The 13,928-nt window shown below is 32.6% G+C and overlaps 1 long non-coding RNA gene across 2 annotated transcripts in view; it reads right to left on the minus strand.

Moving 5' to 3' along the window:
* The window catches only part of LOC105371308 (uncharacterized), a 512,336-nt gene that overhangs the window by 100,295 nt on the left and 398,113 nt on the right, over positions 1-13,928 (minus strand). The window lies entirely within an intron of this gene.

Here is a 13,928-nt window from a genome sequence, read left to right on the forward strand (position 1 = left end):
TCTTTATTCTTTCACAGTAAAACTAAAATATCTGAAATTAACAACATCATAATCATTTGTCTTGTCTGCTAATAAAGAGTAATGTATAAATCATCACAATGCTAATTATAAAACAAGTAGATCATATAAATACAGCGTGTCTCATTGCCATTACATACTACAAATGTAGTTATAGCGCTACTAAAAATCAACTCTTCTCAAAATACTAAGACATAACTCTGGGAACAACTTAAGAAATAAATTTTAAAAGTAACATATGAGTTGGCACAAATAGAATATTAAATGTAATCTTCATATCTTTAATTATGCAAGTCATAGAAGCAGATGTAAAAGAAAACTTGTATTGAGTAATATATGTTAATAACTTCATATTCAGTTCCCTCAAATCAAATGATTCAGCCAAGTTTTATAGCTTGAGAAGTACTTTATTATACAGAGCACTGAACTAATGACCAGATAAAGAATTTTCTGCTAGCTTTCACTTAGTTCTGAAAAGTCATAGCAAATGCAATAAAATTATATTGCATCTTGTATTATTGATATTTGTGTTATTTCCTCTTTTCGAGTCATTTCTCTTTTTACATTCTCACTAAGGTGAGCTACAAAAGAACTATATCTCTCCCTGGGAAGTACATCTAATGAGAGTGAATGATTGAGAAAAGAAATATTTTACTAAATAGCTTGACCAAGTTTTCAAGAGTGAGCACATACTTTATGTAATGTAACTACTCCATTTTATAGGGATGTAAACTTAGACCCAAAGAATTGAGGTATACTCTTTAAAATTATGTTTAGTTAGTGATGATAGAATATAACTCAAGTCATTGGATGAAGTTACTCCACTATACTATGAGAGTAGCAACTAAGAAATGGCCAAACAGGCATGGTTGGCCTGATACTTTTCCTGTGTTTAATGGGAATTTTATTAAGGTAGGAAAGCAAACTACTCTAAGTAGTAGCCTTTTATGTTCACACTTTATCATCCATCTCCATCCTAAGAGATCAGTAAATTTCAGACTTCAAACAAATAAATAATAGCTCCCCATCAGGAGAAGGTTCTGATATCTCTGTAATTGTAAGCAATATATACAACGAAATTCTCCATTCTCTAAGAAAGGTGGTTTGATCCTTCATCTTATAGTCTTCAATCATTCATTCAGTGTTAAGTATTTTCTGTGTGCAAGATACCTCATTAATCTTTTACAGATACAAAATTTAAATTAAAAAAAAATTGAAGACTTCTGTTTCTGGTTCTGCACATAAGAAACCCGGAAGTCACCATTCCATCCTAACAACAAGCAAAAAGCCGAACAGACTGAAAAGTCAGCAAGTCATCTAGGATCTGTAAGAGTGGTGAAGACACAGGACAAATATCTCCTCCCAAGAACGGAGAGACAGGCAGGGAAACATAGGGAGCCACTGTTTACAGGAGCAGAAACCACCCTGAAATCAGTGTTGGGGTAGGAGAATCTGAATTGGAGTTGATGAAACACTGAAGGCTCAGTGTGGAATAATCTGTAAGGTAAAAACTTCTAGAGGACCCAGGCATGAAGAATAGGGGACTTTTTTTGTTAGTTTTACCTTCAGGCGCACTGCTAGGTTCTCACGTCAAATATCAGAGAAAAATCTCCTCCCTTCCCTGTCTCCCATGCTTCCAGCAGGGGAAGGGCAAAGGATACCATTCTGAAATACGCCAGAGCATTTTATTCTTTTTAACATGGCTTGACCTTAGGAGAGACTAGTTAACAAGGGTCTAGCTAGCTAGGGTATCATCAGAGCCTAACTTACCTCGGAGAAGGAAAATACCCAACTGCAGTCCACTCTAGATATCTTCTCCATCTGAGCAGGGAGAAAAAAAATGGAGAAGCACTTGTGAAGTTCTCAGCACAGAAGAATGGTCTCACTAAGAGTCTGAGACCGATTCATAGGACTGTAGTACACTTTGCCTATGCCCACACATTACTCATGCATTACTAAAAGCCTCTTTACAGTAGATTCTCTTAACTGTTACATTAAATTTACAAGGCATGCCAAAAGGAAACACACACACACACACACACACACACACACACACACACACACACACACACACACAATTTTGAGGAGGCAGAACAGCATCAGAACTGACATGACAGGGATGTTAGAATTATTAGACTGGGAATTTAAACTAACTATGGCCAATATGCTAAGGACCATAATGGGAACGTAGACAGCATGCAAGAACATGTGAACAATATAACCAGAGAATTAGAAATCCTAAGAAAGAACCAAAAAGAAATGTTTGAGATCAAAAACACTGTAACAGAAATGAAGAACGCCTTTGATTGGCTTATTAGTAGACTGGCACAGCTGAAGGAAAATCTTTGAGCATGAGGCTATCTCAGTAGAAAACTCCAAAACTAAAAAGGAAAAGGAACATGGACTGAAAAACAACCAACAACATCCAAGGAGTGTGGGACAAATACAGAAAGGTGTAACATGCCTGTAATAAGAAAACCAGAAAAAGAAGAAAGAAAAAGGAACAGAAGAAGTGTCAGACACCAAACCACAGATCCAAGAAATTCAAAGAACAACAAACTTGATAAATGCCAAAAAAAAAAAAAAAGCCCACTACACCTAGGCATATCATTTATAAACTACAGAAAATTGATGATGTAGAAAAAAATTCTCAGAGAAGTCAAAGAAAAACAACACCTTACCCATAGAGGAAGAAATATGAGAATTACATCTGACTTCCCCTCGGAAATCATGAAAGCAAGAAGAGAATAGAATTAGCTATTTAAAATGCTGAGAGAAAACAAAGCGAAACACCAACGTAGAACTTTATGCTCTGTGACATTACCCTTGACAGTGAAGGAGAAATATAGACTTTTTCAGGCAAACAAGAATTAAGGGAACTTGATGGCGGTAGACCTACTTTGCAAGAAACATTAAATGTAGTGCTTTAGAGAAAAAGACGATAATATAGATCAGAAACTCATATCAACATAACAAAAGGAGGAACATCAAGAATGAATATGTAAAGGTAAAATACATTTTTTATTTGTCTTATTCCTAACTGATCTAACAATAACTTTTTTCAAAATAGTAATAACAACTATGCATTCAATTAGATATAAATGTATATTATTTTGTATGTTTATGCACAAGTGAAATGAATTACAAGCAATAATATAAGAGATAAGAGAAAATTTTGTTATTATAGGGTATTCATGCCATTAGTGAACTAGTATAGCATATTTGAAAGTAGTCTTGGATTCCTTGTAATGCATATTGCAAATTATAGGGCAACCACTAAAAAGATTAAAAAAAAGAAGTATAACTGACATGCTAAGAAAGGAATTAAACTGGAATCATATAAAATGCTTCATTAAAACCACAAAAAAGTGGAAAAAAGTAGAACACAAAAATAAGAACAATAAACAAGTGCGACAAATAGGAAACAGTAACAAATATGGTAGACATTAACTCAATTATGTCAATAATGACTTTGAATATAAGTTGTCTCAATGCACTCATTAACAGAGAATGTCACAGTGGATGAAAAAACAATACTCAGATCTATATGTTTCTACCAGAAGCACACATTAAACATAAAGCTATATGTATTTATAATTTATATACATATATACATTAAGAGTAAATAAATGGCTAAAAATATACCAAACTAACACTAATCAAAAGAAAGAAGAAGTAGCTATATTTATTTCAGATAAAACAAATTTCAAATCAAGGGAAATTATCAGGAATAAATCAGGGCATTACATGATGAAAAATAGGCTGATTCTCCAAAAAAATATAATGATACTTAATTTGTATGCACCTAATAACAGTGTCAAACTACATGAGGGAAAAAATCAATAGAATTAAAAAAAATCACATAATCATCTTAATAGACATAGAAAAACAAACAAACATTTGAAAATATCCAGCATACTTTCATGAACAAAACATTCAATAAATGAGAAATAGGATAGAACCTCCTCAATTCAATAAAGGCCATCTATTAAAAAACAAAAACAAAAACAGCTAAGATTATACTTAATGATTAAAGACTAGTTGCTTTTCTCCTAACATAGAAATAATATACGGATGTCCCCTCTCACTACTTTTTTTTTTTTTTTTTTTGAGATGGAATTTTGATCTTGTTGCCCAGGCTGGAGTGCAATGGCGGGATCTCGGCTCACTTCAACCTCCGCCTCCCGGGTTCAAGCGATTCTCTTGCTTCAGCCTCCCGGGTAGCTGGGATTACAGGAACCTGCCACCATGCTCAGCTAATTCTTTATATTTTTAGTAGATACGGGTTTTCACCATATTGGCCAGGCTGGTCTCAAACTCCTGACCTCAAGTGATCTGCTCGCCTCAGCCTCCCAAAGTGCTGGGATTACAGGCGTGAGCCACCATGCCCAGCCCCCTCTCACTACTTATATTTAACATTTTAGTGAAGGTTCTAGTCAGGGAAATTAGGCAAGAAAAAATAATAAAGGCATTCAAATTAGGAAGGAAGAAGGACATGATCTTATAAATAAAAAAATTCAAATTCATTCATTAACAAAATTCTTAGAACCAATACTCAAGTTCAGCATGGCTTCATGATACAATTTTAATATACAAAAATCTATTGTATTTCTATATCCTTTAACAAATAATCCAAGAATATTAAGAAAATAATTTGATTTACAATAAAACTAAATATAATAAAATACTTAGGAAATAATTTAACAAATAAATGTAAAATATGTACACTGAAACCTATAAAATTCCATTGAAATAATTTTTAAAAGATCTAAATAAATGAAAACAAGTACAAAGTTCATGATTTATATTACTTATCATTAAGATGATGATACTCTTTACATCGATCTATAGACTCGATGAACTCTATATACAAATTCCACCTAAATTATTTGTAGAAATTAGCAAGTTAATTCTAAAATTTACATGAAATTTCACAGGTCACAAAATAGTCTAAACAATCTTAAGAGTAAGAATAATGTAGAAGTACTTACAAAGCAGGGAATTGAGACAGTGTGACATTGTCATAAGGATAGACATGTGGATCAATGGAAGATAACTCAGAGTTCAGAAGTAAATCTATACATTTACAGCAACTGATTTTCGAAAATGGTGGCAAGACCCTTCAAATGGTGCCAGGCCAGCTGGATAGCCACTTGCATACCTCACACCATACACAGCAATTAACTCCAAATGGATCAAAGACCTCAATGTAAGAGATACAGCTATGAACGTCTTGGAGTAGAACACAGGGGTAAATAATCATGACCTTCAATTAGGCAAAAATTCTCACGTATGACACAAAAGCATGAACAACGAAAGAAAAATAAATTAGACTTAATCAAATTTAAAAATAAAAACCTTTGTGCTTCAAAAAGTCAGCATCAAGAAAGTAAAAAGACAAACCACAGAATGGGAGAAATATTTTCAAATCATATGTCAGATAAGTGGGTTGTATCTAGAATATATAAAGAACACTCAGAAATCAGTAATAAAAAGACAAATAACCCAATTAAAAATAGATACAACATATGAATAGACATTTATTCAAGGAAGATATATAAATGTCTAGCACACACTTGATAAAATGCTTGACATCACTAGGTATTAGGGAAATGAAAATCAAAACCACAGTGAGTTTCTGGAAATTTGGGTTGTTTACACCTTATCTATTGTGAACACGGCTGCTATGAACAGTTGTGTAGAAGTATTTGTTTACATATACGTACATATTATTAAAAATAATTATTAAACAAATACTTCTACATAATTATTTCTCGCAGCCCTATTCACAATAGCTAAAGAGAAATCAACCTAAATGACTACAAACTCATAAGATGTGATAGATACACATACGATTGGTTATTAGCCACAAAAAAGAATGAAGTACTGACACATGTGACTGAACTAACCTTGAAACATTGTGCTCAGTGAGCTAACACAGTCACAAAAGATCACGTTTTATGATTCTAGTCATTTGAAAGTCCAGAATATAAAAATATACAGATAGAGTAGATTCAGGATTGCCTAGACCTTGCATGTGTGTGCAGCAGAGGGGTTGTTAGAGAAGAGATAGTTAAAAGGTATGGAATTTCTTGTTGAGAAGAAAATAATGACTTTGTTGCTTGTTGCACATATATATAAACATACTGAAAACTGAAAACATACTGAAAAATTGATTAGTACACATTAGATAAGTGAAATATATGACGATAAAGATACCGAAGATTAAACCAAAGACATATTGCAAGCACTAAGCCTATAAATCTCTTGGCTGAAAACACTGGAGTAGATACTCAGGGCTTTGGATTAAGCAGTGATGTCTTATATATAGAATCTAAATCACAAGCAACCCAGAAAAACATCGATAATTTGGGTTTCACTAAAATTAAAAAACTGTTGGACATCACAGGACATCTTCAAAAAAAGTGGAAAGACAACCCAGACATGGTGAAGGTTATCTGCAAATCATATATTTGATAAGAGATGTGTACTTCAAATCTATAAGGAACACTGATAACTCAATTTAAAAAAGACAACAATGGTAAAGGATTTGAATAGCTGTTTCTTCCAATGGCCAATAAGTATATGAAAATATAAAAAATCAACCCCCAATGTGATAATACCTCATGCCTATTAGAATGATTATGATCAGGATACAAATAATAAGTTTTGGTGAGGATATGGAGAAACTGAAACATTCGTACTATGCTTTTTGGAATGTAAAATGGTGCATTCACATTGAAAAATATTTTGGCAGTTCCTTAAAAGGTTTATCATATTTACCAAATGACCAAGAAATTCCACTCCTATGTAAATATTTAAAAGAAAGAAAAATGTGTCCACAGAAAAACTTGTAAAAGAGTATTCATAAAAGTATTTTCATAACGGCCAAGTAAATATTATACATAATAGCCAAAAGCAACCCAAATTGCCATTAGCTGATCAATGGATACATACAATGTGGTAAATTCATACAATGGAATATTATTTGACAATAAAAAGGTATAAAGTACAACCTATTCAAAGTTAATCCATGAACCTATTTATGTTAAACACGTAAACATGTTAAATGAAATAAGCCATGCACAAAGACTGAATAGTATATGAATCCATTCATATGAAATATCCAGAGTAGGCAAATATAAAAGAAAAATAAGTTTGTGGGTGCCTAGGACTGGGGAGGATGAAAGGAATGGGTGACGACTGCTAAGTACTGGTTTGTTGTTGTTGTTGCTTTTGGTAATGAAAATATATCATGTTTGTGGATTAGAAGATTCAAGAAGAAATTGACAAGATCATTCTAAAAGTTATATGAAAATGTAAAGAACCCAGACTAGTCAAAACAATTCTGTAAAAACTAACTTGGAGCACATACATTATTCAATTTTAAATTTTACTATACACCCAAAATAATTTAAAAAGTGGAAGTGTTGGCATGTTGATAGCTTCAAAGATAATGAAGCAGAATTAAGAATACAGACATACATGGTCAATTAATTTTTTACTAATGTGACAGGGTAATTTGTTGAAGTAAAAAAAATCTTTTCAGCAAAAGTTGCCGAGACGATGGTATATGCATATGACAATGAACCTTGAGCTTTCCCTCATAGGATACACAAATATAAATAAATGCGGATGGATAGGATAAATATAAGATTAAATATAGAAATTAAACTATTTTCTTTGAGACGAAAATATGTCTTATTTTATTTTAGAAAATATATAAATATAAAATATTTTTTATATATTTTCTTCTCAAAGCCATTTTCTTTGAGAAAAAAATACAGGAGAAAATTTTTCTGACATTGAAATGAGTAAAAATTTCTTAGATAAGACACAAAAGTCTAAACCATTTAAAAATGATGAATTACATTTCATCAAATTCAAAACAGCAATATAGAACAATACAAACCATAGTTTCCTTTTTAAAACACACTGTTAAAAATGAAAAGGTGCCAGGCATGGTTGTGTACACCTGTAGTCCTAGCCAATCGTGAGGCTGAGGCAGGGGAACCCAGTTGTTTGGGATTGCAGTGAGCTATAACTGTGCCTGTGAATAGTCACTACACTACATGCTGGGCAACATAGTTAGATCCTGTCTCTATGTCTCCAAAAAACAAATAATAATCATAAAATAAAATGTAAAAGTGGAAAGGAAAGGCACAAACTGAAAGAAAATATTTAAAAAGCATATATTCTACAAAGGACCTGTACCCAGAATATATAGAGACATTTTGCAAGTTAATAACAACGTGACAGACAATCCAATAAATAAAATGATAGGTACTTTATTGAGAGAGTTAAATCAATGGTAAATAAGCACATAAGATGTTTGACACCATTTTTGTCATTAGAAAATTAATATTGAAACTGCAATGACATTTGAATATACATCTATTATAAAGACTTAAAATGGTTATATAATTGCTTAAATAAACAAATGAGAAATATGACAACGTCAAATGTTGGCAAGGATGAGGAACAACAGAAACACTCATACCTTCCTACTAAAAATTCAATATGTTAATAATAGTCATTAAAAAAATTCAGCAATTTTTTATCAAGTTAAAATATGCTTTCCATGTGACTCAGCAATCCCACTCCTAGGTCTTTACCCAAGAAATGTAAATGTATGTCACAAGAAGACATGTGTTTTTGTTTGTAACTTACACCTGTTAAATAATGCTAATGGAACTTCATTCATAATGGCCCCAAACCACAAATAACTCACATGCCCATCAATTGGTGAATGTTCCAAAAGTTTATAATATATATTCACAGAATAGAGTATTACTTAGTAATAAAAAGAATGAGTTACTAATACACGCTAAAACATTAATACATTTTAAATATGTTGTACTAAATGAAAGATGCTAGACAGAAAAGACTGCGCACTACATGCCTCCATTTATATGAAACCACGAGAGCAGGCAGATCAATGTTTGCTGGGGCAAGATGCTAGCAAAAACGTTTGCAAATTGGAATCTCAGCATTTTTCATGGGTGATGGAAATGTTTACTATCATGACTGTGGTGGTAGTTACACTGCTATTTGTTAAAACTTATTCAACTCTACATTTGGCAATTTGTATTGTATATAAATTATCTCAAAGCTAATTTCAACAGATAAAAGAGAGATACAATATGCAAACTTTAACAAAACTATGTATTACTCTGTTTTATTTTTCTTTTCCTCTGCCTGAAATATAGGAGACCTATGTCTTCCTCCTTCCTTATCGATGCCTAATACTACAAAATATATGGCTTGCAAAATCAGATCAAACATCTGCATTTTCTATTCTATAAGAGTCTAGTAGCTTAGAATATTTGTTAGAACTGCCTTCAAAGGCATGCTAAGCATTATTTTCAAAACATGTAAAGAATCCTATCATTTTAAAACATGGCTACAGAGGTTTTCAAATAAATAGAAACATAAACCTCTGCTATACTGCCATAATTTGACTATAGAGTTGCTCATCCTGATAAAAAAAGATACGAAGAGTTTTAGCCAATATATTTTTGCTAACCAAATATTCAGCTCATATCAAGACGAAGTCACTAATTTATTCATATATTTATTTTTAAAAAGCAAGTAGTAGAACACACTACCAAATATATTTTTTTCAGAAGAACATAAAGTTGAATATCACAGAGACAAGCCATCATATTTGAGATGGTAATCAAAAAGAAATTGGAGTTGTTATGTGTACAAATTTGAGAGAATCACTCAAGTAAAAGTTAAAAGTTAATAATATATTTTCTTTCTTTCTTTCTTTCCTTCCTTCCTTCCTTCCTTCCTTCTTTCTTTCTTTTTTTTGAGACAGAGTCTCACTTTGTCACCCAGGCTGGGGTGCAGTGGCACTATCTCGAGATCGGCTCACTGCAACCTTCGTCTCCTGGGTTCAAGTGATTCTCATGCCTCAGCCTCCCTAGTAGCTGGAACTACAGGTGTGTGTCACTATGTCCGGTTAATTTTTGTAATTTTAGTAGAGACAGTGTTTCACCATGTTGGCCAGGTTGGTGTCAAACTCCTGACCTCAGGTGATCGTCCCTCGTCAGCCTCCCAAAGTGCTGGGATTACAGATGTCAGCCACTGTACCCAGCCATATACATTCTTTCATACAGTAAAGAAATATCAAAATCCAAATAATACATAGAAATAAAATAAATGCAAGTTAGAATAAATCTTGAAATTGTATTTTACCTTCTAGCCAGAAAAATCCATTAATGAATAGAAAATATCCTTTGTTGCCAGTAAAAGAAAATACAATATTTTCTTCTTTTGAAATTACTAACTTCGTAGAATTATTTGACAATACTGAAGATGTCCAAGCAAACCTTATCTTTCTTACTTTCATAAGCAAGACATTAAATATTGCAATGGAGATCCTTGGATACAAGTTGAAATTGACGCTAACATCCATGTTCAGAATCTACTTTTTTAAAAATGAGCTGAGAATCTGAAACTGATTATGTGTTCTGTTACTGTGTATAAAGATGAAAGGTCTAATTGGCCTATGGGACCTCTTGACAGGACAGATTTAACCATGAAGCAGAGTAGGGACAGGACCAAAGGCCCATGGTGCTTTTAGGGATGCATGAAAATATTTTAATTCATTTCAAAATCAAAATATAAACTGAATAAATCAAGCTGGATGATAGCTGTCTTCATACCAAAACAGTTATGAAATATAGTATTTTTGTATTAATCTGACTCTAAACTGGTGTTCAACATTTGAGCAAAGTTTATGGATCAGTGAAAATATGTTCACATAATAAATGTGTGCTTTGTGACAATGCTGAATCATCTTCAAGGGTGGACTTAGAGAATGCCTAAGTTCCAAACGCATACCAGCCACTGATTTGCAAGAAGACATGGGAGAGGAATAGTGTCAGGAACTGGACATGTGATACATAAAACTGATCTCATTTTACATGCCAGAAATTGACAATCCTTGCCTTTCTCTTTGTACCGGACTACACTGTTGTTATTTTAAAACATGTATTGAAAATAAATGATCATTAATTGACCACATTTTTTAGTAATAGAGAAGAATCTTACTCAGGCTGTTAATTATGATTATTTATCCCTTCATGGTTTGTTTTGCTCTATTCTGTCTGAGAAATGCATCACACTGTGATCTTTATGTTCAGACAGTCTTACAAGGCTTCCCACTGTGCAGTTCTTAGCTCTTCATCACACAATGAAACCCAGTCTGTGTGAAGCTAAGATATTACTTCTTCACTATTATGCATAATAAGACTTACAATTTGTTTGTCTATGATTAATTACTTTTCCCAAGAGATGTAATGCTGAATGTTTTCATATGCTAATATGTGCCAAGCTGCCAGTGCTAACTCAGCTCTCTAATCCTAAAACTCACCTTAAGTGAATGAATATCACTGTTTATTGCCAAAGTTGTCATTTGTCTGGAAATGAAATAAATATCTAAGAAGAATTTCAATGATAGAGCTGCTTTTCAGCTGACAGCTCATTCCTTGTTATCAAAAGGCAAATATATGTCAATGTGTGCATTACTTAAGACTCATGAGATAATTGCATCAATTTGCCTGACAATCTGATAATTTCATTTGCACAGTTGTGAATGGTGTCAACACTGAATGAATGTACCTTAGACAAAAGGTGTGAAACACAGTTGGAGAAAAAAGGGCTTCTATTGAAGTGTCTTCTGCCAGATGAAATCCTAGATAGTTGCTTTCTTCTTCAAAAGTGTGTGTCCTTGACTCAAATTTGATCTTGAATTTATTACCAAAAAAGAGAACAGATTCAACATTCCAGGTGGCCTAAGAAACATGTAGGTTTCTAATCATTTCTTTTAATTCAAAATTTTATTTGTTGATATATTTGTGAAAGTCCATATAGTGCACAGGTATATACTTGGAGCAAGCTGTGTGATGGATATTGGAGAAACATATATTTTAGCAATAGATCCTTCTCATCTCAAATCTCCCTAAGTTTTATGGTGTTAAGTAAGTTTTGTTGCTGTTTTCTTAATTTCTCTAATTACAGTTTTTTTTAAATTATCTAAGTGGGTATAATCCTACCCACTGCTAAGGAATTTTGTGGAGATTAAATGTGTTAATAAACAAAATGTGTTTATAAATAAAATGTGTTAATAAATGAAACAATTCTATTGTAATCAGCTCAGGTTAAACACTTAGAATAGTTTAATTGTTATTATTAACACAACTACATGTGCATTTAATCAAGTTCTTATATTTTTTAAGCCTCAATGTCTTTATCAAATAGATCCAAGAATAAATCATTTGTAATGTTAATACGTTTGAAGTGTTGTTGCGATGGTCACTTAAGAAACATAAATATCTTTGCCTAGTGTATAGCACAAAGATGCCTTTAGGGAAAAAAAAGTGCTTTCTTTATTGTATGCAATCAACAAGTAAAATATTAAAATATTATATATATATATTTTCATATGGTGGCATTGACAGGCTTCAAAATTAACTGCAGTGTATTTCTATTTTATTATTCACCTGAGCTGGTGCTAGCAGCAGATTCTGCCTGGAGTAATTGTTCAGATCAGTGGTCTATGGCCAAGGACAGAAGAAATGAGACTTTTAATTAATAGAGTGGAAACCAGAGAGATATAATAGTTGGGGCATCTGCTAAACTATAAATCTCTAAACAGAAATGACTCTGTTTGATTGCAACTCAATATTTAGAAATTATAAGATGCAACATGGAGTTCATCTCAAATAAAGAGTTCTTATTTAACTTAGAATGTAAACCTACAGTGCATTAATGCATGTCCAATTGAATTTTATTGTGATAGAATAAAAAAGGAGGCTTAACATATTTTATTAAATGCATGCATTTGCCATCAAAATATCAACTAAAATGATAGCAGATGACTCATTTTTTTTAAAAAAATTAATACACCTAAGTACTAGAAGAATGAGAAAAGATATTTGTACGTGAATAGTTCAGCACATACTTAAAATATTTATAGCAGGTAAATCATTGTTAATTTTCTTAACAGAAAGTAGAGAATTAAAAATTAAAAAGTGTAATGCTGTAAGAAAAAAATAAGTGGATTCACCCAGAATTAGCCGGCTCAGAAATTGGAGGCAGGAATATGTGATGTTTAAAAGATACATGAACAATAGTCAGACTCCAACTTCCACTGTTCCTTCAAAACCCATGTATGCCACGTTTCTGCTCAGGAGAAACTGAACCAGAGATGGTCTGGATGCAAGGACCTTGAGGCACAACAGAAGATCTGGGAGAAACATAATCATAAATGGAAGGAGTGCTTAAGTGCACTTCTATTCACTGAAATGTGAACGTCATCTTACTCAAAATCTATCCCTGCTATTGAGCTCCCAGGATTCTGGCAGCCATATTTACAGAGCCCATTTTGGAAACTTGGAGAAGGTTTTTATTATTATTATTATTATTATTATTTTTTATTCTTTCAGAAATCAAATGCCTCTAGGGAAATATCTTTTAGTTTTCCCTCTTCACCCTCCATTGAGTTCTACCAGTTGACAATAGCAACTGTTGAACCAGAGCGCTCCAGAACACACTCGGTGATTTTTAAATATGAACAGTGATCCAAGTATCACCAGACATTAGAGGAGGGTCTCTATTATAAAGCTAGAACCCAAAACAAATGAATGGGAAGGAAAAGAATAGGAAATGCATATAGTCTTTGGAGAGGACAATCAAAACCTTACATCAACAGGAATATGTAATATTTTTAGAGAAAGTAAAAAAAAAAGTTTCAACCAAGAAACAAAAGGAAGAGGCTGTATAAAATAAATAGGAAATACAAAATATTTCTAGGAAATTCAAAATACGATAGCTTAAATTAATAAAAAATTTAAAACCTATACATGTTGTAAACCAAAAGTAAAATGGTAAGCCCTCAG

This window comes from Homo sapiens, chromosome 16 (genome assembly GCF_000001405.40).
Source record: "Homo sapiens chromosome 16, GRCh38.p14 Primary Assembly".
Taxonomy (NCBI): Eukaryota; Metazoa; Chordata; class Mammalia; order Primates; family Hominidae; genus Homo; species Homo sapiens.